Below are 22,501 nucleotides of genomic sequence, written 5' to 3'. Positions count from 1 at the left end.
TCGCCTCCACTGCCAACTGATGATACACTAAAGAAAGCCCGTTTTTTATCCAGATGTAAAATGAAGCTGCACCCCTCCTATACCTGCCGGAAACTACATCTCTCTGCACACACCCTGGGGTAATACGCACTGCACCCGGCGAGTTACCTGGAATACGTTTACTAAATCGACAGGAAGAAGGAAAGATCAATGCGATTCAAGTGCTGACGGTTGTACTCGTGAAGGAAAAAAACAAATGCAAGCCGGGAAGTCCCCAGTGGTGCCTGCACCTAGGAGGCGACTGCAACGGATGGATGCGGGGGTGAGGAAGTGCAGGGAGAGGAAAAAACTGGAGGGAGGCGGGTTGCAAAACTGCTCACCTGTCCGTACACCTTGATGGGCTCGGGCTGCAGGGCAGCGCTCCGTTTCCTCCGGAGCGGCTTCTCGTCCGCGCGGCTCGCCCCCCTGGCATCCCCGCGCGCCCACAGCCGCAGCTCGCGCGGGTCGCCCTGCACCACGAGGAAGCCCCGGTCCTGGGGCAAGGGCGCGCTGCCGCCGTGCAGCCTCTGCGTCCAGACTTCGCAGAGAGCTCCGGGCGGCAGCAGTGCGACCAGGGTGAATAGGAACGGGAGTCGCGACTCCCTCCTGCTGCTCCGTGTCGCCATGTTCGGGCGAACGCTACTGCAGGTGGCGCCGCCGCCAGGAGAGAATGTGCAGCGCGAGGCCAGGAGAGCCGCTGGGCCGGGACCGCGCGCGCCGCTCCCGGGGCTCCAGGCCGCCCGCGCCGCTCCGGGCCGCCCCGCTGCGCCCGCCGCCGCTGCCGCCAGGTCCCGCTCGGTTCGGCGCGGCGCCGTCACGTGTGAGGCTCGCAGCGCGTCCCTTTCGCGCACTTTCTGCGCTCGGCGGCCTCGGCGGCGACTCCGGCCCCTCCCTGGCGCGGGGATGGGGAAGTTAAGGCAGCGAGCGCCGGTGGGGGTGCGTCCCTTCCCTGGCGGGCACACCTCCTTGTTCTCCCTGCAGGAATGAAGAGTTGCATGGGGCTCGCTCGTTTTCTCTGGAGTTAGTTGCGTCCTATACAGGGTCGTGTCGAGGTCGTCCTAAACCGTGGCCACTTTCCTGAGTGCACAGCCCGCAGTAGCGCCACAAGACCACCTCCCCCCGGCCCCGGCCTCATCCCCACCTCCAGGGAAGAGTCCAGAGCCACAGAATTAGCTCCTAGAACGCAACCAACAAGAGTCCAGATGAACCCGCTCTATTGGGAAACTCACAGTTTTTCATCTACTCTGGGCACCACAACGTATTTGCAGGGGCCACAGCAAAAACTACCCTTGATCAAGCTACGTGCCCCAGCCTGAAGCACAGCAAATAAACATCCTGCACAGAGGCAGTAAAAACAAGGGTACATCTGACAAAGAATGCACCACACCTGGACAATTATTACACAGCTATACAGGGTGTGCTTGCACGCACGCATGAATACCTGTGCGTGGCACAGGGCCCCAGCGGCGGCTTGCTTATGATCCCTCCAAGGTGACCAAGCACTGAGCCACCCTGCCTCAGCAGTAAAATAGACATATTTACCAGTCCCTTCAACCCACAGCCAGGAGCTAGGCAAACACCCACAGAGGAGGGAGGACACACTTTAACCCTACATTCAGCTTGACGAGCCAAACTCTCTGAACCACAGGAGATAAAACTTCTGCCATGGAACTGCTAAGGTACGCCCAAGGAAAATATTTTTTTTGCAGGTTAGTGGGAGCAGCCAAAGTCTATGTACTACTGCAACCTTTCCTATTTCATTTTATGTTTCACTGCCCTCTGAACTCAGATCCTGGTTTTTGATAAGAATAAAGACACAGCAAGCAGGGCTGAAAGGGAGACTACCTTTATAGTTGCATACAAGCTGCTGTTCAGGGGAAGGAAGGGATGGTCAGTTCAATTTTCTAAAAACATTCCTCATCTCCGACAAGCCACGGTAGCCCGATTCCTACCCCGGCCCACTCTAGTACTTTTCAGGTAGCTTAGCAAAGCCCCCTCCTCTACCTAGGACTACCACTGACAACCTGCCAGAGTCAGGCCAGCTTGCCTCATCTCCCTGAAGCCAGTATTCAACCACCCTACCCTACCCCATGCCAGACTTGCTGGGGACCTCTGCCTCAGGTTCTGCACTCTCCCACCTCCTCCCACACCCGATTTTCTCCCCAAGTCAGATGATGTCTTTCTGTCCATCTCAACATAATTACAGAACCATCCAGTTCTCCCCACCAAGCAAATCATGCATTCTCTATGTTAACCACCCTGCTTTGTTCATTATACATTGTATACAGGTATCAAAATACCACACTTTCCCCAGTGTGGTATTATTGGGGTGCCTTCATCCTGCACCCCAACTTTGATGTTATTTCAGAGGGATTGAGGAAGTGGTAGCTTGTTTACAACCCAGAGCTGGTTTTGAAGCTGAGAGGAACGCCTTGCTCATATTGTGCAATTCAGCTCTAACTCATATATATAACATATATATTTATTATATACTTATATATGTCAATTAAAAATAATAATTCAAACAATCATGCATCCTCCAAGAAAGCCACTGAACCACTGTCACCTCCCACCCCTCATCTAGATCAGCTCTGTCTGGTCAGCATCACCTTACCAGGAATGGACAACCCCATGGTCTCTCAGGACCAGCAGCAAAGATATCTCTACTCCCATTTAGCCCTCAAAGGAAAATGAAGGGAATATGGCTAAAGTGAGAACATCCTGTAGATGATTCAATTATTGGGGTTTTTCCAACATATATTTAATGAGAACCTTCTCTGCAAGAGCAAGTGTCAGAGTCCCAGCAGAAAACAGAGACAGGAGTCTCCTAAGTGTGGATTTGAAGATGGGCATCTGTTTGCCCACACAAACTGCTGGCTTAAGGTTCAGATGGCCCCTTGCACAGAAGGACTAGTAGGGCAGGGCCAGCTACTTGCTCATTTTGATGTTGATTTGCAACTTGAATGCTAGAGAATTGGTAAGAATATTCAAACATGGTTAATTAACTCCTTGCAAGCCCTCCTATCTAATCATTATCTACATTCCAAACCATTCTCAGGTAGATAATCAGCAACCCCCCAAGACTGTGCCTGCTGCACAACTACAGAACGCAGTGGAAGACACGCTGAATTCTGAGTCAGAAGGTTGACTTTCTAGCTGTGGGGACTTGGCCAAACCTCCTCAGAGCTTCAGTTTTCTCATCTGTAAAATAGAGATCTTAATCCCTACCAATCTCACAGGACTGCTGAGAGTATCAGATGAGGTAAGTATATAAAATAGCTGTGCAAATTTGTGTGAAGGCCTCCAGAGAGAAATAGTGCATGCAGGTGGCATTAGAAACATAGATTCTAGTCCTGGCTTTGCAACCAAATTATTATGTAATTTTTTGTCTTGATCATCTTGTCTCTTACGATTTCTTCATAAGTTAAATGAAAAGACACCTTTCAGCCCTGACCACTCCCAAACCTTCAGGACCCCCACTGGGTTGTGAGATAGGAGCAGCCACAGGCAAGGTCACCCAGGACAGGAGTTAGAGCTGAATCGTGCAATATGAGTGAGGTGTTCCTCTCAGCTTCAAAACCAGCTCTGGGTTGTAAACAAGCTACCACTTCCTCTATCCCTCTGAAGTAACATCAAAGTTGGGGTGCAGGATGGAAGACAGTACCATATCCCCCTCTGTCCCATCTTGCATGGCCTTGCTCGGATGCTGCCCAGCATCATGACGAAAATCAACATGCACGGAAATGTAATGATAGACTCACAGCTGTGTATAAAACAGTCTTAAGCCTGTTGTCAGACTTTAAACTGCCCTCCTCTGTCCTACTGCCCATCTTAGGCCACTGGAGATGGAGGTAGAGGACAAACACACAGAGGTCACAGTGTCCTACATTTTTATCCAGGTGGAGTCATGTTTAAAATAGCAGCAAGGACAGCCACGAAGAGGAAAAAACTCCCCAAAGCCTAATTTGACTTCTTTCTGTTCTTTCTCTTCCTGTGGCCTTCTCACATGCTCACCTCCTGGCTGGCCAACTTCTATTCAGCCTTCAGGTTTCAGAGCAGCCTCCTTAGGCACCTAGGCTAGGTTACAGCCCTCACTCTAAGGCTCTAGTCCCCTGTAGCCTTTGATACTTCCTCTCTGGTCACTTGCTTAATCTCCATCTTCCTCTTAATCTACAAGCAGCAGAATGACAAAACCAGTCTATCTCATTCAAGTCTAGACGCCCAGTGCCCAGCATACTCTTGGCACATGGTGGCACTCAATGATATTTATAGGATGCATGCATTTAAATGAAGGTGAGAAGTGACACCACCTTTGTCCTGGTGGCAATGGTTGGTTAAGGGGCCAATGTAGTTGAATCTCAGATCTTTTCTTACCACCATCTGCTTCCCACCTCGTTTTCTCCCCCAAAGCAGGCCTCTCTGAGTCACGCAACCAGACCAGAGTCATTAAAGCAGAAAAGGGACTTCCCTGCCCTTAGGATGGTAAACATTGTTCCCTCTTCCATGTTACTTTGGCCAAATAACTACCATTGACCTCACCAGCTCAGGCAAAATAGAAATACCCGCCTGCCCCCAAAGAAATAACTCCTTCTCCTGCTGTTGCCAAAATCTACTTCAGTTAGGAAAGCGTCCAAGATAATTGATGAGGTTTAAAATACAAATGCACCCAGAGCATAGAATAAGTAACTTATATTCTCACTCTTGATTAAATTAAATCCAAAGAGGAGTTTCTGGAAATAGCAGTAAGTTATTTTGCATAGCAGTGATTTACATTTGCATAACATTATAACAGCATTATCTATCTCATTCCATCGCACAGCAACCCTTTGAAGTGGGCCAAAGCGAGAATTATTGTCACCCCCATTTTACAGACCTTAAGCATTGAAATTCAGAAAGGAAGACTATTTGCTTTGCCTAAAGTTAAACAGGCTTGCTAACTTACTGTTAGTAAGGGATAAATTTGAACCCAGGCTCCCTTTTTCTGCCACATCTGATACCTCTCTTAGGAAGAGAAGAGCTGGTATTTCAAGTCCTGGGTATAGTGGAACAGCGGGAATTAGGGCAGAAAGAAGGAAAGGGAGTGGCTGTAGGCCTCACCTCCTTCACAACTCAGCCCTGCCTTAACCAGCACTGTCTCCCTTCCTAGGTACCTAGCCTAGGTGAGATGCTGTATCTGCTTGACCCTCACGCCCTGATTGGGACAAGTTAGCAGTAATGTTACAGTTACAAAGCTCACAAGTCCAGTCCTGTTTTCTATACTTTTCTAGGAGATGAATTTAGCGAGGGATTTGGTTTCCAATGTGTTTCAAAACCTGTGAGAGAGCGCAAGTTTTAGAAGGTCCCTCAGACAGGCACAGTGACTTATGCCCTTAATCCCAGCACTTACAGAGGCCAAGGCGGGAGGATCGTTTGAACCCAGGAGTTCAAGACCAGCCTGGGCAATGTGTCGAAACCCCACCTCTACAAAAAATACAAAAATGAGCCAGGCATGGTAGCACATGCCAGTAGTCCCAGCTACTTAGGAGGCTGAGTGGGGAGGATCGCTTGAGCCCAGGAGGTCAGGGCTGCAGTGAGCTGAGATCGCACCACTGCACTCCAGCCTGGGTGACAGAGAGAGACCCTGTCTCAAAAAAAAAAAAAAAAAAAGCCCTCAAGTTTTGGTTCCACTGTTTACCCTTGTCTGGCCTTCATCCCTGCGTAACTCAACTTCCTGAACTTCTAGATCAAGAAAGCATTTAGACCTTTCTCACAAAGTGTGTGAAGCGGGAACCTAGAAGTTTCTTATAATTATGTAGACCCAAGGACAAACCTCCTGACATAAGACAATGGGTTGCTGAGGGTCCCTAGGAAATTACCTCTTTCCCTGGGAATATAGAGGAGTAGGACTCCCCCTCCTGGGTTTGAAGTGAATGAGAGGAACTTAAGCTGAAGATTATTTGAATATCCCCGTGTAATTACATATCAAGGCTTGTATCTTCTTCCCTTGAGGCCTTTGCTGTACATTCACTGGGGATGCATGCGTTAGGCACAGACGAGCCTGGGGATGTGACCAATCAGCTTGGACACAGCACAGTTGAAATGTGATGCTTTGTTTCAGCAGATGCCTCTGCACTCTCTTAGGGCCAGCAAGACAGGGAAAGCAGACAGTCAGACTAGCTTTTTGGCCCACGTCTCCTGGATACTTTCCTTTTTTTTTTTTTTTTCTTCTCTTAAGACAGAGTTTCTGTCACCCAGGCTGGAGTGCAGTAGTGCAATCTCAGCTCACTGCAACCTCCACCCCCTGAGTTCAAATGATTCTCCTGCCTCAGCCTCCCGAGTAGCTGGGATTATAGGCATGTGTCATCACACCTGGCTAATTTTTGTATTTTTAGTAGAGACGGGGTTTCACCATGTTGCCCAGGCTGGTCTCGAACTCCCGTCCTCAGGTGATCTGCCCACCTCAGCTTCCCAAAGTGCTGGGATTACAGGCATGAGCCACCATGCCTGGCCTTCTCCTGGATACAGTCTAACAGAAACCTAGGATCCCCCAGACCCCTTTTCCAGTCAGAACAGATTGAGATGCTCTCCCCTCTGGCCTTGTTTATTCATTAACTAAAAGGCCACTTCTTGACCTCTTCCTGGATTTCCCCCAACTACCCCTAGAGGCCCTGAAACTTGCTTTAGGCCTCTTTTGAGATGTTGATCATGTTCTGCCTTCCATTAGAACAACGATTTTGGTACTTATCTCCTTTTCTAAATTGTAATGATGTCTTGGAGTCTATTCCCCTGTCTTGTACTTAACAGAGACAGAGTAGATCCTACAGAATTGAAGTAAAAGTGAAGGGAGTGGTGAGAGAGAATTACCCCCACCCCCGCTCCTCACACCCTTCGGCAGTTGGTTCTGGAAGGAGGAACAATTTTGAATCAATGCTCTGGGGAGACTGAATTTTTCATTCTAGTTTTCACTGCAAAGAATGGCAGAGAGGCCTCTGAGGGCCTGTCAGCACCAGGGCAGCCAGCCTGAGCAAGAAGGGGGTCCTTTCCCTGCAACATATTTTTATGCATGTCCTAGTCATCATCTGCCCAATAATAGGTTCAAATGCCTATAAAGGACACAGCCACTAACTGCAAGGAACTTGAGAAAGAGAAGAAAGATAAACATGAAACTAGCAGAAATATGTAAATACAAAAAGAATTCTGTCTTGGGGGGAAAAAAGATGAGTACTGGCTTTGGGGAGGGTGATAGGCAAACTCTCTGGAGAATAAGACGTTATGAGCTGTGGTTTCAGGTGTGTGTGTGGAAGTTGGAACGGGACAAGCAGAGAAGGCTAAAGTGCTCTGGTTCCGGGAGGAAGCAGGAAGTTATTTTCAGCGTCTGAGGAGAAGGAGGAAAGGTTTCAGGGTAGAGTGGCGGCAAGGTAGGGTGTGGGAACAGGTAGGTGGGGTGGTGCCTGCTATGGGAGGCTGGGAAGGCCAATGGAGAGAGACACCAAAGGAGAGCTGTGGGGACAGCAGAAGCTGGGGTGGAGCGCCCAGCTCGTCCCTTTCAGCACTGTGGTGCAGGGATCCGTGGAGGCCGTGCAGCCAGGGGTTCTGAGAAGTGCTTCTTCCAGCACCTGTTTCACCAGGGCCACAACACGTGTTCCAAATGCCACTTTTGCCCATCTCCTGCTACAGCTCAGGAGAAGTGGGAGGACCTGTGTATCATGCATATAATCTCCCAGAGGGTGCGACAGATCACGCCCCTCACTGTGCGCCTTCTCTAAATCCATCACCCTGGAAATTTTACGTGGTGTCATCAGCTGAATTAACACCTGTTAAAATCATCATTCCCACCAGACTCAAAACTGCAAGTGCTTTTAATGAGGCTCCACATAAAATAATACATTTTCTCAGAGCCCTTAAATTACATTAAATCCTCCACACCAAATAAATTATTGAAACTGCGATTAGAGTTTGGATCATACCAACAGACCTGCTCGGAGGCAAATTTTCAAACTGCCCAACCACCTAAGCAAAGAGGTGAGTGAAAAATTCTTCGTTTTCAATGGTTATTTCAACAGAAGCTTCAGTGCTAAATTAGCAGTGAATTTTGTGTATGAATTTTCTTTGAAATCTAACATTATGTAAATGAAAAACCCAACACAGCACAAATTAAGACTATTCTTAATTCTAAAAGGCTGCTATTCTGTGATAATGACGCCATGGAATACTTACAGTCTGCCAACCATGGAGTGTGGTTCCTGCTCCCCCATCTGTCTTGGATGCCTCCCAGCAGGGGGACACCCACCGTGTCCTCATTTCTTTATCCTGCCCACTGAAGTCAGATCCTGTCCACCCTTCCACCCCTCTTCCACCTCATAATTTAATCTTGCCCAGATCATTTAATCACCTAAAATGGAACCAGAGATTGAAATGCGCTTAACCTGCATCCATGTGCAGTGTAAAGTACTAGAGGCGTGACGTCAGAAGCCCACTCACCTGGGTTTATATCCGGCTCTGCCAGAGACCCGCTGGATCTGCTCAGGTACTTTCTCAGAGCCTAAGTTTCTTCATCCGTAAGTAAATATGAATTACCTACATCTGCAGGTTTAAAGGATTAATTGAGATTTTACATGTCAATGGTTTAGAAAGTGAACGCCTGGCACATAAAACTTGTTTAGCTAATGATGCCTATTATTATTGAGCAAAGCTCGGGTTAGGTATTGTTGGTAAATCAATTTGGCCATTCAGCAATTGTTGGGTTTTTATTCAGGTTTGTACATGTCCCTTCAACCTCACTACCAGGTGATATGTTGCTATAAAAACTGAGATTAGTTTTTATAAATTAAACCAGGTTTCTCTCTCTCTTTCTCTCTGACACACAGACACACACACACACACCCACGCGCACACACACACACACATTTCTTAGCAAGCAGGCTAGAGGCCATCACACATCCTGTACCAGAAGGCTCAGGGCACCCCTAAAACCCTTACAGGAGAACCTAGACCCCAAACAGATGGAGCAGTGTTCTGAGGCCAGGATCCACCAAACTCCTGGTCAAATCAGGGAACAGTTTCCCTTTAAGTGGAGAGACAAAAGACCAGATGAATTCAACAGCTCTGGAGGAGGAATCAGCCTGCTGGGTCTGCTGGATTCTTACATCTTGTCCAAGCAAGCCCACTCCAGCTATGTTTCTTGAGCAGCGCTAATTTCACCAATGAAAAATAATAACTAATATTCCTTATGCTAATTTATACACCTTCTGATTCAAATGTACATGATGTTCTCAGCGCAGCTCCCTGAAAAGCTTGAATTCCTGACCAGGATGCTTCAAGTGCCAATCACACTTAGAGCATGGATTTCTGATGAAGTCCCTTCAAACGTGAGCTGTACACCCCTAGCATGGATTAAAGTTAATTTATACACATATACATGACTCTGTTTATATTGAAGTATTTAAAATCTACTACAGACAATATAGCAACTATGAATAAGGAAAAGCTTCCAGCATCAATGGAACAGGAGAGTGGTATAAAACCATGGCTTTTCCTTCAGTGGGAATATTCATGCCTTAGGTTCTTGTCTGTTTGACATGGCATTGTGAGAATTTATTTTAGATATGCCACTGTAGACAGCCAGATTTTACTGTGTTTGTTTGGCCAGCAACCTGGGGCAGTCATTTGTCCTAATCGGGAATTCATGCCTCAAGGGTGGTCAGCTAGCACTAGAAAGTCCAACGCTAGCTCCAGGGTAGCTCTAAATCTCAATCAATACAAGTGATTTTTTACTAATTAGCATAACGAATGTTGAGAATGAATTTTCATTAGTAGCTTGTTAGTTAGATTAATAAGTATTAGAAACGGGCTGTCATTAGTAAAGTCAGAAGTATTCAAGACATATGGCTTATCAAAAATGTTTTATAGACACTCTTTTCCATCCCACGTCTTCATGTCCTCTAGCCTCAGAGATGCCAATTGAGTCTTTTTTTTTTTTTTCTTTTGTGAGACAGAGCCTTGGCTGGGCGCGGTGACTCACGCCTGTAATCCCAGCACTTTGGGAGGCCGAGATGGACGGATCACGAGGTCAGGAGATCAAGACCATCCTGGTTAACATGGTGAAACCCCATCTCTACTAAAAATACAAAAAATTAGCCGGGCGTGGTGGTGGGCGCCTGTAGTCCCAGCTACTCGGGAGGCTGAGGCAGGAGAATGGCGTGAACCTGGGAGGCGGAGCTTGCAGTGAGCCGAGATCACGCCACTGCACTCCAGCCTGGGCGACAGAGCAAGACTCCATCTCAAAAAAATAAATAAATAAATAAATAAATAAATAAATAAATAAATAAATAAATAAAAGAGAGAGAGACAGAGCCTCACTCTGTCACCCAGGCTGGAGTACAGTGGCACCATCTCAGCTCACTGCAACCTCCGCCTCCCAGGTTCAAGTGATTCTCCTGCCTCAGCCTCCTGAGTAGCTGGGACCACAGGTGCGTGCCACCACGCCCAGTTAATTTTTGTATTTTTAGTAGAGAAGGGGTTTCACCATGTTGCCCAGGCTGGGCCCGAACTCCTGACCTCAAACAGTCCACCCACCTCGGCTTTCCAAAGTTCTGGGATTACAAATGTGAGCCACTTCGCCCAGCCCCAATTGAGTCTTAATCCCTAGCTCTTCCTGTGTCCTTGGGTTTAAGGATTCTAGTTGCTCGTTACCAACCATAAGTTTAACTGAATGGCGACTCTGGAATGTCGCATCTGCATCTAGTAAAGCACATTCAAGTAAGGTGCAATGAAAGCACCTCAAAGAGCTGAGAGACTTCCTATGCCTTGTTGCTAATAAATATTTACTTAATAAACATCTGCCTGTATAGCAGAATCTGGTGCAAGGTTTGCTATCATTAAAATCTGGCAGTGAGGTTGTGGAGGATTAACTAAAGCTTACATGCTCCAACTTGGCAGCTACTCTGTCTATCAAAAATAACTAATGATTGGGCATGAATAAACTTATCTAGGTCAATTGCAATATATTACTAAGTGCTCCTGTTGGAAAACTAGGGTAAGAGTAGGGGTAGTGGCACACGGGTTTTTAGGATCAGTGGATTAGTTGGGATAAAACTTTAGCTGCATGCCACAGAGACCCAAAATAATGGTGGCTTACACAAGACAAAAGTGTGTTTCTCCCACACATTAGCTGGTGTCTCTGCTGTAGCTCCATGCAGCTGTCGGGAGTTCAGGCTCCTTCTGTCTCATTGCTGTGCCATCCCAGGGTGCCTCCTTTGTCTGTATGATCCACAATGGCTCACCAGAACATCCTCAAGCCACCCAGTGGGAAGGAGAAAGGGCACAAGCCAGTGCATACACATCACTTCTGCTCACATCCCATTTGCCAGAACTTAGTCTCATAGTCACACCTACCTGCAAGGGATGCTGGGAAATAGAGGCCTTATTCTTTTTTTTTTTTTTTTTTTTGAGACAGAGTCTCGCTCTGTCACCCAGGCTGGAGTGCAGTGGTGGAATCTTGGCTCACTGCAAGCTCCGCATCCCAGGTTCTCACCATTCTCCTGCCTCAGCCTCCCGAGTAGCTGGGACTGCAGGCGCCCACCACCACGCCCAGCTAATTTTTTTTTTTTTTGTATTTTTAGTACAGATGGGGTTTCACCGTGTTAGCCAGGATGGTTTCAATCTCCTGACCTCGTGATCTGCCCGCCTCGGCCTCCCAAAGTGCTGGGATTACAGGCGTGAGCCACAGCGCCTGGCCAATAGAGGCCTTATTCTAAGCATTCATGTACCCACTTACAAATCAAGGGTTCTTTTCCCTTTAGAAGAAGTGGAAAACAATACCAAGAACAACCAATAGTTATTTCCAAAATCAGAAAGTAGTAATGGAGATAATGGGCCTAAAAATTAGTAGGCAAGCTCTGTTCCTGGGACTCGCTTCTAAAACATTGAAATACTTATATCTCCATTGGTAAATAGTTACTTCTGCAACCAGTAGGGGCAGAAAAAGGAGTGATCCCTTTCCTCACCCATCATAAGGGCCACAGCCAACACTCCTATAACAAAAGACAAGTTAGCAAGAGAAAAGCATAACTGTATTTAGTCGTAATTTTATGTGACACAAGAGCCTTCAGAAATCAAGACCCAAAGACCCAGGGAAGACTGTCTACTTTCATGGTTAAGTTTGATGAAGAATGGACAGCTACGTAGAAATGCGACTGGACAAAAGGGTATAATCTAGTGGTAATAGACTGAGAAGGGAACCCCAGCAAGTCTTGTCTGTTCAGATTCTTCTTGACCTCCTTCCTCCTGAGTATGGAAAGGGACCGCTCTTGAATGAAGGTCTTCAAGAAAGAAGTATTAAGGGAGAACATGATCTTTCCAGGCTCATGGCTTGCTTTGGGAGAAAGAAATTCTAGTTTCTGTGACCCACCTTGGGAAAGAGGAATTCTGGTTTCTATGAATCAGGAGAGAAAGAGGGACAAGAGACAGGAGGGCAAGAGAAAGTCAGAGAGAACTTGTTTCTGAGGCTGCTGGTGGGGCTTTCCCATCTTCTTTAGTTCAAAGTCTCAGCATGCCATCCTCTGGCCCTCTGGAGTTCTTTATTTGTTTGTTTATTTATTTATTTAGAGACAGGGTCTCACTCTATCGCCCAGGCTGGAGGGCAGTGGCATGCTCTCGGCTCACCGTAACCTCCGCCTCCGGGGTTCAAGCAATTCTCTTGCCTCAGCCTCCCGTGTAGCTGGAATTACAGGCCATGTAGCATCAGGCCCAGCTAATTCTTATACTTTTAGTAGAGACAGGGTTTCACCATGTTTGCCAGGCTTGTCTCGAACTCCTGACCTCAAGTGATCTACCTGCCTTGGCCTCCCAAAGTGCTGAGATTACAGGCATGAGCCACCATGCCCACCCTGGGGTATCATTTCCTGAGCCCCAGCAAGCTCCTGAGCACTACCAAATCCCATTGTCCCAGGCACCATGCCTCCCCACCCAGAACACTGTGAACTTCCCCCAGAATCCAGTAACTAGAAGATTAATGAATGTCTGGTCCACTAGGGGCCTCCTAGACTCTCATCCAGCCCAATGGCCTGTGTCCATTCTGATTGGCCAAAGCCCTTGTCTTACTGATTTTTAAAAAATTCAAATACAACTTGTGGCAGCAATGTCTGGAAATCATATTTTATGCAAAAGTTGAAGAAATGAGATATTTAACTTAGAATAGAGGAGATTTAGCAGAGGGCCAACTCAGCCATTATCTTTAAACATTTACATTAATACTCACCGTCTTTAAATGTTATTGTAAGTGCCTGTTATGTGCCAGGATTGGATCTGAACTCAGTGCTGTATTTGTGCTCTCTCAGATTCTCAAAGCAATCCTGTATGGTGAGAATTATTTTTATTTTACCGACAAAGCTGCTGAAGATCAGAGACATTGAGTTACTCATAGAAGATATACAGACAGAGCCAAGATTCAAATCCCTTGGGTGTCTGGCTCCAAAGTGGAAATTTTCTCCACGGTGCCAAAGGACTCATAAACAGAATGTACAAAGGACTCTTACAAATCAGTAATAAAAGGACAATCAATGTTTTTAAACAAGCAGAAGACTTCGATAAACACCACATAAAAGAGAATGCATGCATGGCCAATGAGAACATAAAAAAGATGCTCAGCGTTGTTGGTCGTCAGGGAAGTGCAGATTGAAAATGCAATGGGATACCACTACACACCCGCCAGAATGGTTAAAATTTAAAAATTTTAACAGTACCAAATGTTAGAGAGGCTGTGAAGCAGCAGGATGTTTTATGCATGGCCAGCAAAAGTATAAAATGGTAGAGCCATTTGGAAAACTGGCATTTTCTCATAAATATTCACCTATCATGTGATCTAAAAATTCCAAAAGAAATGAAACTATATGTCTACAAAAAAAGTTGGATAAGAATATTCATTGTAGCTTTATTTCTTTTGTTGTTGTTGTTGAAACAGAGTCTCGCTCTGCCGCCCAGGCTGGAGTGCAGTGGAGCCGTCTCAGCTCACTGCAACCTCTGCCTCCCGGGTTCAAGCAATTCTTGTGCCTCAGCCTCCCAGGTAGCTGGGACTACAGGCACGTGCCACCACACCTGGCTAATTTTTGTATTTTTAGTAGAGATGGGGTTTCGCCATATTGGCCAGGCTGCTCTCGAACTCCTGACCTTGTGATCCGCCTGCCTCGGCCTCCCAAAGTGCTGGGATTACAGGCATGAGCCACCGCACCTGGCCATGGCTTTATTTCTAAAAGCCAAACTTTGGAAACAATGCCAATGTCTATCAATAGACTAAAGAGATAAATTGAGATTTTTCATACTGTGAGATATTGCCCCACAATAAAAAGGAGCAAACTATTAATGCATACAACAACGTAGATGAATCTCAACAATATTATGTTAAATGAGAAGCACCAGACACAAAAGAGTACACACAATGAACGACTCCACTTATGTGAAGTCTAGCAACAGGAAAAACTCATCTATGGAAATAGAAATCAGAATAGTCATTGCCTGTGAGAATGTAGAGGGAGGGTGGGCCACAGGAAAGGAGCATGGGAAAATTTTTTGGGTGATGGCAATTTTCACATTTTGATTAAACAATTAAGTTTAATCAAATTATACACTTAAGGTCTGTGCATTTTACCATATGTAATTATGCTTTGAATAAAAATAAATTAAAATAAAGGGATGAAATGAGTTGCTTCTTCCAGTATTATGCTTTGGCACTGGAAGTATTTAAGCTAGACTAATGCTTATCAGAGATATTGTGGACGGTTCAAATTGGGAGTTCTGATTAAGTAATAAAAAACAAGCCCTCAGATTTTAAGACTTCGGTGTGATACTTGATATGTAATGCTGAACTAATCATGTATTTCGGAATAGGCAAAACCTGCGTTCATCTTCTATTTTGGAGAACTCCACGTAGATATGGAAACTTATGTTACCGAAAACTTTCTTGAATCTGTTTATTTTTCTTTTCTGAAATTCTTCCCCTATTTACCATTACCTCTAACTACTTGCCTCCTGAAACGCAAACCTTTAGCCACTCTATGTTCCTGTATCTTAGAACATGTGGTGTTTGCACATTTCCTTTGTTAAACATCCTCCCTACTCCCACTTCCCATCAACTTCTGCCCTTCCTTGAAACTACACAGAAGTCAACTGCACCAGTAAGACTCCCCTATAAGCCCTGTGGCCCACAGTTTTAGTCTATTTTTGAGTCTAGATTACCTGTAGTATAGCAATTATCCCAGGCTAAATGATGCCAAGGTCCCTTCCCGCTCAAAGAGTCTGGCTCTTTGAACAGGGGAATCTGGGCTTGAAGAATGAAGAGAAACAACCAAGCCATCAGCAGTAGCATCTTCATCAGGTTCTGCATGAGGTAGACTGAATGACAGAATATGACCTGGGTCATTTCTGTGAAAACTATATTACTTAGAATTAAGTCAGAAGTTTCAATCCCAGCTGATTAATAAGAGAACCAGTTGAGATTGCCAAACTTGTTCAGACTTGGAGACTTGCCATTTTGGAGCTAGATGAGAAAGAATTCAACTCAGTGGTTGCATAAGAATGGGTCTGTGCAGATGACATGGAACATGGTGGGTTGAAAGAAAATGGGTGAATAAAACCCTAGGCTAAGTGCTGAAGCTAATATTTACTGATCACTCTCATGGAGTCAGATCCTATGCTAAACACTTTGTCCATTCATCTTATTTAATCCTCACTGTGACTCTCTGTACAGAGGCTAAGTAGTGTGCCCAAGGTTTCACAGCTAGTAAGTACTAGAACTGGGTCTCATTTCCAGGTCTATTTGACTGCAAAGTCCATATTCTTGCTCACTAGGCTCTAGTAAGTCCCAGAAAGGAATTGCCAAAATCATTTAGCCCTGTTTCTTGGTTCCAGGTACCTCAGCCACCCCAAACTGGCTAACTCCTTTCCCATTATTTTTAGGATTACTGGGAAGAGAGGTCTGCAGCATTCCTCAGTAACCTGTCTCAGTGCCTCTAATATCTGCAGCAAGAACATTCTTCTTTGTGTTTCATCTGAGTCCTCCCTACTTTTGTTTTATCATTCATAGGTGAGATAAGGCTCCGTTTATACTTATAATTTCAGTGAAAGCAGGAGGCTGCAGAAACCACTGCCGTAAGAACTTTAAATATTCTAGTGCATCTTCTGTTTGTCTGAGAGTTGTCAGGTTCCTCTAGCAGTGCAGTCTGGAGCCATATGAGGGGAGATTAATGAGGGGACATGGGGGGTCAAGAAGCAAATATTCATTAAAGAGATCAGGAAATGGGTTTGTCCTCATTAAGGCATAATCACAGCAGACCATAGAGCATAGTGGAATATGAAGCTGTGGTTTAGCCAAGGAAAATGCAAGGAACAAATCTTATAGACATGGGAAACAGGAGCAGGAAACCTTAGCACTGTTAGGCTGAAGTTGTGTAACAGTCTTCTCCCCGTGGTCATTTTGACTAAATCAACTAAAACCATGTCTAATATATTTAGCACCTATGAGGAACTCATTTCTCCTCCCTCTCCTCTTCTTCTTGTGTGCATGTGACTGGCTTACTGGACAACCTTTATTTCAAAAGCAGTGTTGTGAGAACCCAGAATATGGCTCTTGCTCAAGAGCCTCTCCTCAATCCTGAGTTGTAGCCCAAGACATCACAGATCACTGAGCTGGGGTGTGGGAGGTCCTCAAGCTCTTGTCTTAATGCTGGTAGAGGGCAGAGCTCAGATATGAACACAGGCAGTTGAGCTCCAGAGCCTGTGCCCTTAATCACTTCATTGTTCCTCAGTTGATTTGTGATCGTGATATCCCTAATCCCCTGACAAAAGAGAAGTACCCTTGGAGATCTAGCCAGTGGTTTACAACCACTTGAAAATTTCAAGCAGCAGAACTAGATTTATTACAATTAAAACCTGACATGGAACCTCAATGTATGAAACAGACAAAAGCAGATGTATGGTACTGAGGCTGTGGGGGGCCCAGGGTTTCTAAAGCCCTGCTTGCTTAACTCTGCCAATCCCTAGGGTTCTGCAGAACACACAGTGAGAACTACATCACTCTGTTAGCAACCAAGTAAATTGAAAATTGACATGTAATAGTAAAGTGACATGTTTTTTCTTTTTATCTCTTTGCATTTCTTTCAACCAGATAAGAGAAATGAGACTCAGGACAAGTAGACAGAGCAAAGGGAAAGGGACAGAGCAAAGGGAAAGAGCCAGTGCACAGGGCGTTATCAGAGAGCAGAGCTGAGCAAGGCACTGCAGTGGGGCATCATGGTCAAGGTGAGCCGTATGAGATCACCTGCAAGTACAGGAAAAAGGGACAGGCCATTTGTGCCTAACACCAGCCCCAAGAACTTTTGAAGGAAAGGTAAAGACAGGAAACTGTGAACTGGGCCAACATGTGAACAGCTTTCTGCCCTCTAGCATCCCTTCTTTTTGTCTATGCAACAATCACATGTACTTTGCACAAGCCCAGAAATGGGAACCCGGTTTTCTGTCCTTTGCTTATGTTTGTAACCTTTCCAAGCCTACCTCAGGAAGGATGTCTATTGAGCAGGTGGGTTTGTGAAATTTCCAACAGGAGGAAGCCGTTTGCTACAACAACAGCTCAGAGGGTTCTTCTGCACTCCGCACTTCAGCAGTTGTGCCAGCTGGGTAAGGAAGAACACAAAGGGAACCAAAGCTGTGGGCTGGTGCATTTGAGTCAGAGGCCTCTTTAAATGTAATTGATGGAGAGAGAGATTGAGAGAGGATTATAATAGTCAGGCTGCCCAACTACTTACGTAACCACACTTAGTGAAGACTCCCCAGATCCAGGAGCTGGATTTTAATTTGCCATGCTCAGAAATTCCATTTTACCAAAGCACATGCCCTGATTTGGGCCATTATCAGTTTCCTGGATATTGTCCATTTTCCTTTAAGCCAGTCTTCATCCTTTCTTGCCCTGCCCTGTGCTTCAGGAGACTGGCACTTGGCTTCCAGTTGGCTTTGGCCAATTGGAGGCACTGCGAGGAGATCATAGTGTGGCCAAGAAAGGAGGGCAGGGTAGTTATTCCCCTACTTTCCTGCCTTCCAGGTAGTTATGGGTTAGCTATGTCCCTTTACTGAAGGCCTGCCGCTGTGGGGCCGTTTTCTTCCATCCAGCTGTTCTCTCTGGGTGTCAGTAACTGCCCCTTCCTCTGGTCCCTTCAGGCTCGGGTTGGTAAGAGTTTCCCCCACTCTTAGCCCAGAATACTGCATTATCTCATGTAAGTTTTGCACACTTTATAAATCATAGCTTTTTAAAATTCATGTTAAAATATCCAATTGCATATGCCATCTCAGAACACTTCTGCTATTCAGTCAACATCTGTCAAACTGACAGTATGGAAACGAAGATCAGAATAACTGCCCCCCAAGACTGTGATTTTATCCCATAACTTTATTAGTTTAGATTATTGCAAATAGTTTTTGTTTGTTTGTTTGTTTGTTTTGTTTTTTTATTATTTTTTTTTTTTTGAGTCGGAGTCTCACTCTGTCGTCCAGGCTGGAGTGCAGTGGTGCAATCTTAGCTCACTGCAACTTCCACCTCCTTGGTTCAAGCAATTCTCCCACCTCAGCCTCTCAAGTAGCTGGGACTACAGGCACACACCACCATGCTGGCTGATTTTTGTATTCTTAGTAGAGACGGGATTTTATCATGTTGGCCAGGCTGGTCTCAAACTCCTGAGGTCAAGTGATCTGCTCGCCTCAGCCTCCCAAAGGACTGGGATTACACATGTGAGCCACCACACCTGGCCACAAAGAGAACTTTCCAAAGCTCTTAAATTTGACCTATGTACTATGCTGCCAATTTGAACAAGCTCCCTGCAGATGAACGGTAGTGCCTGGGTAATAACCTTGTTAAATATGTATAGGTGTTAGATAAGCTTACTTTTTCACTCAATTGTGTAAGAACGTAAAACTAAAACTGTATAAAAACAGTAAATTATTAAAAGTGACTAAATATTAATAGGCTATAGTACAGTAATTCAGTGCACAGGCTTTAAGATGAGACAGATAGGGATTCACATCCATTAACCGTGGCCTTTGGAAAGTTACTTCACCTCTCCAGTCTTGGGTTTCTCATCCATAAAATCATCATGATAATTGAGTGCCCACTTCTTAACAGGTGTTGTGAAGATTAAATGAGATTCATAAAGTATGAGTACTGTGGGCATTTGAAAAATACTAGCTATTGTTGTTGCTATTAATTTTAATTTGCAATTCTGTAATGACATGATATTGAGCATCTTTTCACATTCTTATTTGTGCACTGTATATCTTCTTTGGTGAGGCATCTGCTCAGATCTTTTGTCCATTTTGTATTTGGGTTGTTCATTTTCTTATTGTTGCATTTTAAATGTTCTTTTTATTTTTATATGGCAGTTCTTTATCAGATATGTCATTTATAAAAATTTGCTTCCAGTATGTGGCTTGTCTTCCCATTCTCTTGATACCACTGCTATTAGTAAGTTAAAATAATGATATACTTTAAATTATCTCAGAGAGTTGTCATGTGGATTATATGGGTTTATATATATATTTAAATGGAGTTTTGCTCTTGTTGCCCAGGCTGGAGTGCAATGGTGTGATTTTAGCTCACTGCAACCTCTGCCTCCTGGTTTCAAGCGATTCTCCTGCCTCAGCTTCCTGAGTAGCTGGGATTATAGACTCTCGCCACCACGCCGGCTAATTTTTTTTTGTATTTTTAGTAGAGATGGAGTTTCACCATGTTGGCCAGGCTGGTCTCAAACTCCTGACCTCAGGTGATCCACCCGCCTCGGCCTCCCAAAGTGCTGGGCTCACAGGTGAGAGCCACTGCGCCCGGCCTATATAGGTTAATGTTTTTAAAGTACTTAGAACAGTACCTGGCACATAGTTACCAGCTATATGAATGTTAACTAATATACAGATAATAGTTAAGTGTGAATACCTAGAAATAATTTTATTCCTTTCCCCCTATCTTTTAATTATTCTCAGTCACTTTTCAAACTACCTTTGGATTTCTTAAATAGAAATAGACCCTTCTAAATTCTTCCTGAATTTTTTCTTGGAGTCAAAAACCTTCCTAAGCACATGTAAGGTTGTTTTAAGTTCTGATTTTTTCTTTAAGAGATGGGGTCTTGCTTTGCTGCCCAGACTGGAGTACAGTGTGATGATCATAGCTCACTGTAGCCTCCAACTCCTGGGCTAAAGTGAGCCTCCTGCCTCTGCCTCCAGAGTAGCTGGAACTACAGGCACCTGCCCCTACATTCACTGAATTTTTAAATTTTTTGTGGAGATGGGGTCTCACTATGTTGCCAAGGCTGGCCTCAAACTCCTGGCCTCAAGCAATCCTCCTGCCTCAGCCTCCCAAAGTGTTGGGATTACAGGTGTGAACCACCGCATCCAGCCCTGATTTTTAAGCATTGGTCAGCTTGCTGTCAAAAGCTATCTCGAGCAAGTTTTCTTGACTGTTTCAATCCTCACACTCCCAAATGAGATCTTAGATATATTTTTAATATAGTGATACAGCAACTGAAACTTTGCTTACTAATCCATCCTCTCACCTTTACCCTACACCAGCAACATAAGGCAGGGAAACAAGTGGTTAGGAAGAAGTGTCTAGGTCCGGAGCTGTTTATTATCTGGCAATTTAGAGATGAATATCCACTAGAGAGACAACTCAGAAAGGAAAAATGCTTTCTTCACGAAATGAGTCAAGATTAGTGCTCTCAAAGTGTCAAATTTATGATAACAGAGGAATATGAATTTCTTATTTAGACCAGATAAATGTTTTTATGACAATTAGTCCTTGAATTCATGACCTGTGTTTGGTTACAGAGAGTAAGGCACCCATGGCCCGGAGTGACATGCTGCTCTCCTTATACTTCCTTCCCTTATCCTCAGGACTTAAGCTTAAACTGCCTCCTTTCCTGTGGGAGCCAATGGACCCTAACACCAGAACTCTCCCCTTCTGGCTGCAGAGCAGCAGTACTGAGTACATGAGTCAAGCCACTGATACCCCATGGAGCTTGAGAATGTGAAACTTACCATATACAAGAAAAAACTTAGGGAGACTGAAATTTGACTATTTCTCCAAGGAAGGTGGTAGATTCCAAGAGAAAGGGGGATTGGATGGGGAAGCAGAAGGAGAAGAGGTTAAAAGGAGAATAAAAATGAGAGAGAAGATAGGAAGAAAGGAATGTCTATGAGGGATGCCCTCCGAAAGCATAAGCAGTAAGATCCAGCCCTTTGTAAAAGGTACAAAGGAGAAAATTATCTAAAAGAGGCACAACCCTTTATCTCTACCTGTGTCTGCTTCCCTCTATATTAGCCACTAGTCTTTTAGATGTAAGGGGTAGAGACTAAAACCAGCTGAAGTGATAAATGAAATGTATTGACTTATATAACCAAGAGGTCTAGAGGTGATCTAACTTCAGGCCTGGCTGAGTCTAGGATTTCAAATTATAAGGACTATTAATTTTTTGTCACCTCTTAGTTCTATAGGTACCTGGGTCCATTGGCTTCACTCAGATTTTGTCCATATGACCCAAAGATGATCACCAATTGTCCCTGGCTTATACTATCCTTAAAGAGAAAAGAGAGAACCTTCTCTCCCCACCACATCATTCAGTCCATATCAGTCCCTGAAGAGGATTCTGCTGAGGTCACATGCCCCAGTGTTCTATATCCAGGAGGATGGGGTATTCTGGTCGGTCAAGTGGAGTCATGTGCCCACAGTAATCAGCAGATGTGGGGGAAGGACATTTCCCAGAAGGAAGGCTTGAAGCACAGCCATCCCAAACAGCCCCCAACTCCATCTAGCTAGAATACTTTTCTAAACTCCTCAATAGAAGGCTGTTTTAACATCCATGGCCAGGCGCAGTGGCTCATGCCGGGCCTGGTGGCTCACGTCTGTAATCCCAGCACTTTGGGAGGCCAAGGCAGGTGGATCACTTCAGGCCAGGAGTTCGAGACCAACCTGGGCAACATGGTGAAACCCAGTCTTTATGAAAAATACAAAAATTAGCCAGGCGTGGTGGCGAGCACCTGTAATCCCAGCTGCTCTATAGGCTGAGGCATGAGAATTGCTTGACCCTGGGAGGCAGAGGTTGCAGTGAGCTGAGATCGCGCCACTGCACTCCAGCCTGGGTGACAAAGCGAGACTCCGTCTCAGAAAAAAAAAAGAAAAAGCCATGGTGTTTTGGTGTACATTTAGTAGGGGAAAGGAACACTGTGGGTTTGATGCCATGGTGGGCATTGAGGACAGGGGTCAAGGGTCAGGGGTCATCCTCTCAGGACTCTTTGCACTTCATGGTGGACCACTAGATGATGAAGACAATCTACACAGACATTGCAATTTAGATTTTTTTAAATCAAAGGGTCACTCAACTGTACCACCTCCCCAACTTGCCCTCCTTACCTCCCCAGCTAGTAACGAGAGACACACCTGTGAGACAGAAAAAGAAGGTCTCTTGACGCAGATTAT

General features: G+C 45.2%; 1 protein-coding gene and 1 long non-coding RNA gene across 2 annotated transcripts in view, besides 8 other annotated features; one reads left to right on the top strand and one right to left on the bottom strand.

The window, feature by feature from the left end:
* SORL1 (sortilin related receptor 1) overlaps positions 1-662 on the bottom strand; it is a 181,450-nt gene extending 180,788 nt beyond the window's left edge. Inside the window, exon 1 of the mRNA NM_003105.6 lies at positions 360-662. Coding sequence (NP_003096.2) covers positions 360-644 — 285 coding nt within the window. The 5' untranslated portion in view covers positions 645-662. The remainder of the gene's footprint in view (positions 1-359) is intronic.
* Positions 6-55: an enhancer, noted in NCBI's record as "active region_5653". NCBI's record gives its function as "activates an Ori minimal core promoter by ATAC-STARR-seq in GM12878 lymphoblastoid cells {active_cell/tissue: GM12878}" and the evidence as "EXISTENCE:reporter gene assay evidence [ECO:0000049][PMID:35858748]".
* On the top strand, positions 9-14,818 carry SORL1-AS1 (SORL1 antisense RNA 1). The gene is made up of 3 exons (NR_183636.1): positions 9-301; positions 3,077-3,280; positions 13,335-14,818. It is a non-coding gene; the product is annotated as an SORL1 antisense RNA 1 (long non-coding RNA).
* Positions 66-255: an enhancer, noted in NCBI's record as "active region_5652". NCBI's record gives its function as "activates an Ori minimal core promoter by ATAC-STARR-seq in GM12878 lymphoblastoid cells {active_cell/tissue: GM12878}" and the evidence as "EXISTENCE:reporter gene assay evidence [ECO:0000049][PMID:35858748]".
* Positions 546-595: a silencer, noted in NCBI's record as "silent region_4004". NCBI's record gives its function as "represses an Ori minimal core promoter by ATAC-STARR-seq in GM12878 lymphoblastoid cells {active_cell/tissue: GM12878}" and the evidence as "EXISTENCE:reporter gene assay evidence [ECO:0000049][PMID:35858748]".
* Positions 726-775: a silencer, noted in NCBI's record as "silent region_4003". NCBI's record gives its function as "represses an Ori minimal core promoter by ATAC-STARR-seq in GM12878 lymphoblastoid cells {active_cell/tissue: GM12878}" and the evidence as "EXISTENCE:reporter gene assay evidence [ECO:0000049][PMID:35858748]".
* Positions 1,646-1,705: an enhancer, noted in NCBI's record as "active region_5651". NCBI's record gives its function as "activates an Ori minimal core promoter by ATAC-STARR-seq in GM12878 lymphoblastoid cells {active_cell/tissue: GM12878}" and the evidence as "EXISTENCE:reporter gene assay evidence [ECO:0000049][PMID:35858748]".
* Positions 4,219-4,298: an enhancer, noted in NCBI's record as "active region_5650". NCBI's record gives its function as "activates an Ori minimal core promoter by ATAC-STARR-seq in GM12878 lymphoblastoid cells {active_cell/tissue: GM12878}" and the evidence as "EXISTENCE:reporter gene assay evidence [ECO:0000049][PMID:35858748]".
* Positions 6,343-6,472: an enhancer, noted in NCBI's record as "active region_5649". NCBI's record gives its function as "activates an Ori minimal core promoter by ATAC-STARR-seq in GM12878 lymphoblastoid cells {active_cell/tissue: GM12878}" and the evidence as "EXISTENCE:reporter gene assay evidence [ECO:0000049][PMID:35858748]".
* Positions 22,416-22,485: an enhancer, noted in NCBI's record as "active region_5648". NCBI's record gives its function as "activates an Ori minimal core promoter by ATAC-STARR-seq in GM12878 lymphoblastoid cells {active_cell/tissue: GM12878}" and the evidence as "EXISTENCE:reporter gene assay evidence [ECO:0000049][PMID:35858748]".

Source organism: Homo sapiens, chromosome 11, assembly GCF_000001405.40.
Source record: "Homo sapiens chromosome 11, GRCh38.p14 Primary Assembly".
Taxonomy (NCBI): domain Eukaryota; kingdom Metazoa; phylum Chordata; class Mammalia; order Primates; family Hominidae; genus Homo; species Homo sapiens.
This window is presented reverse-complemented; position numbering and strand designations above follow the sequence as displayed.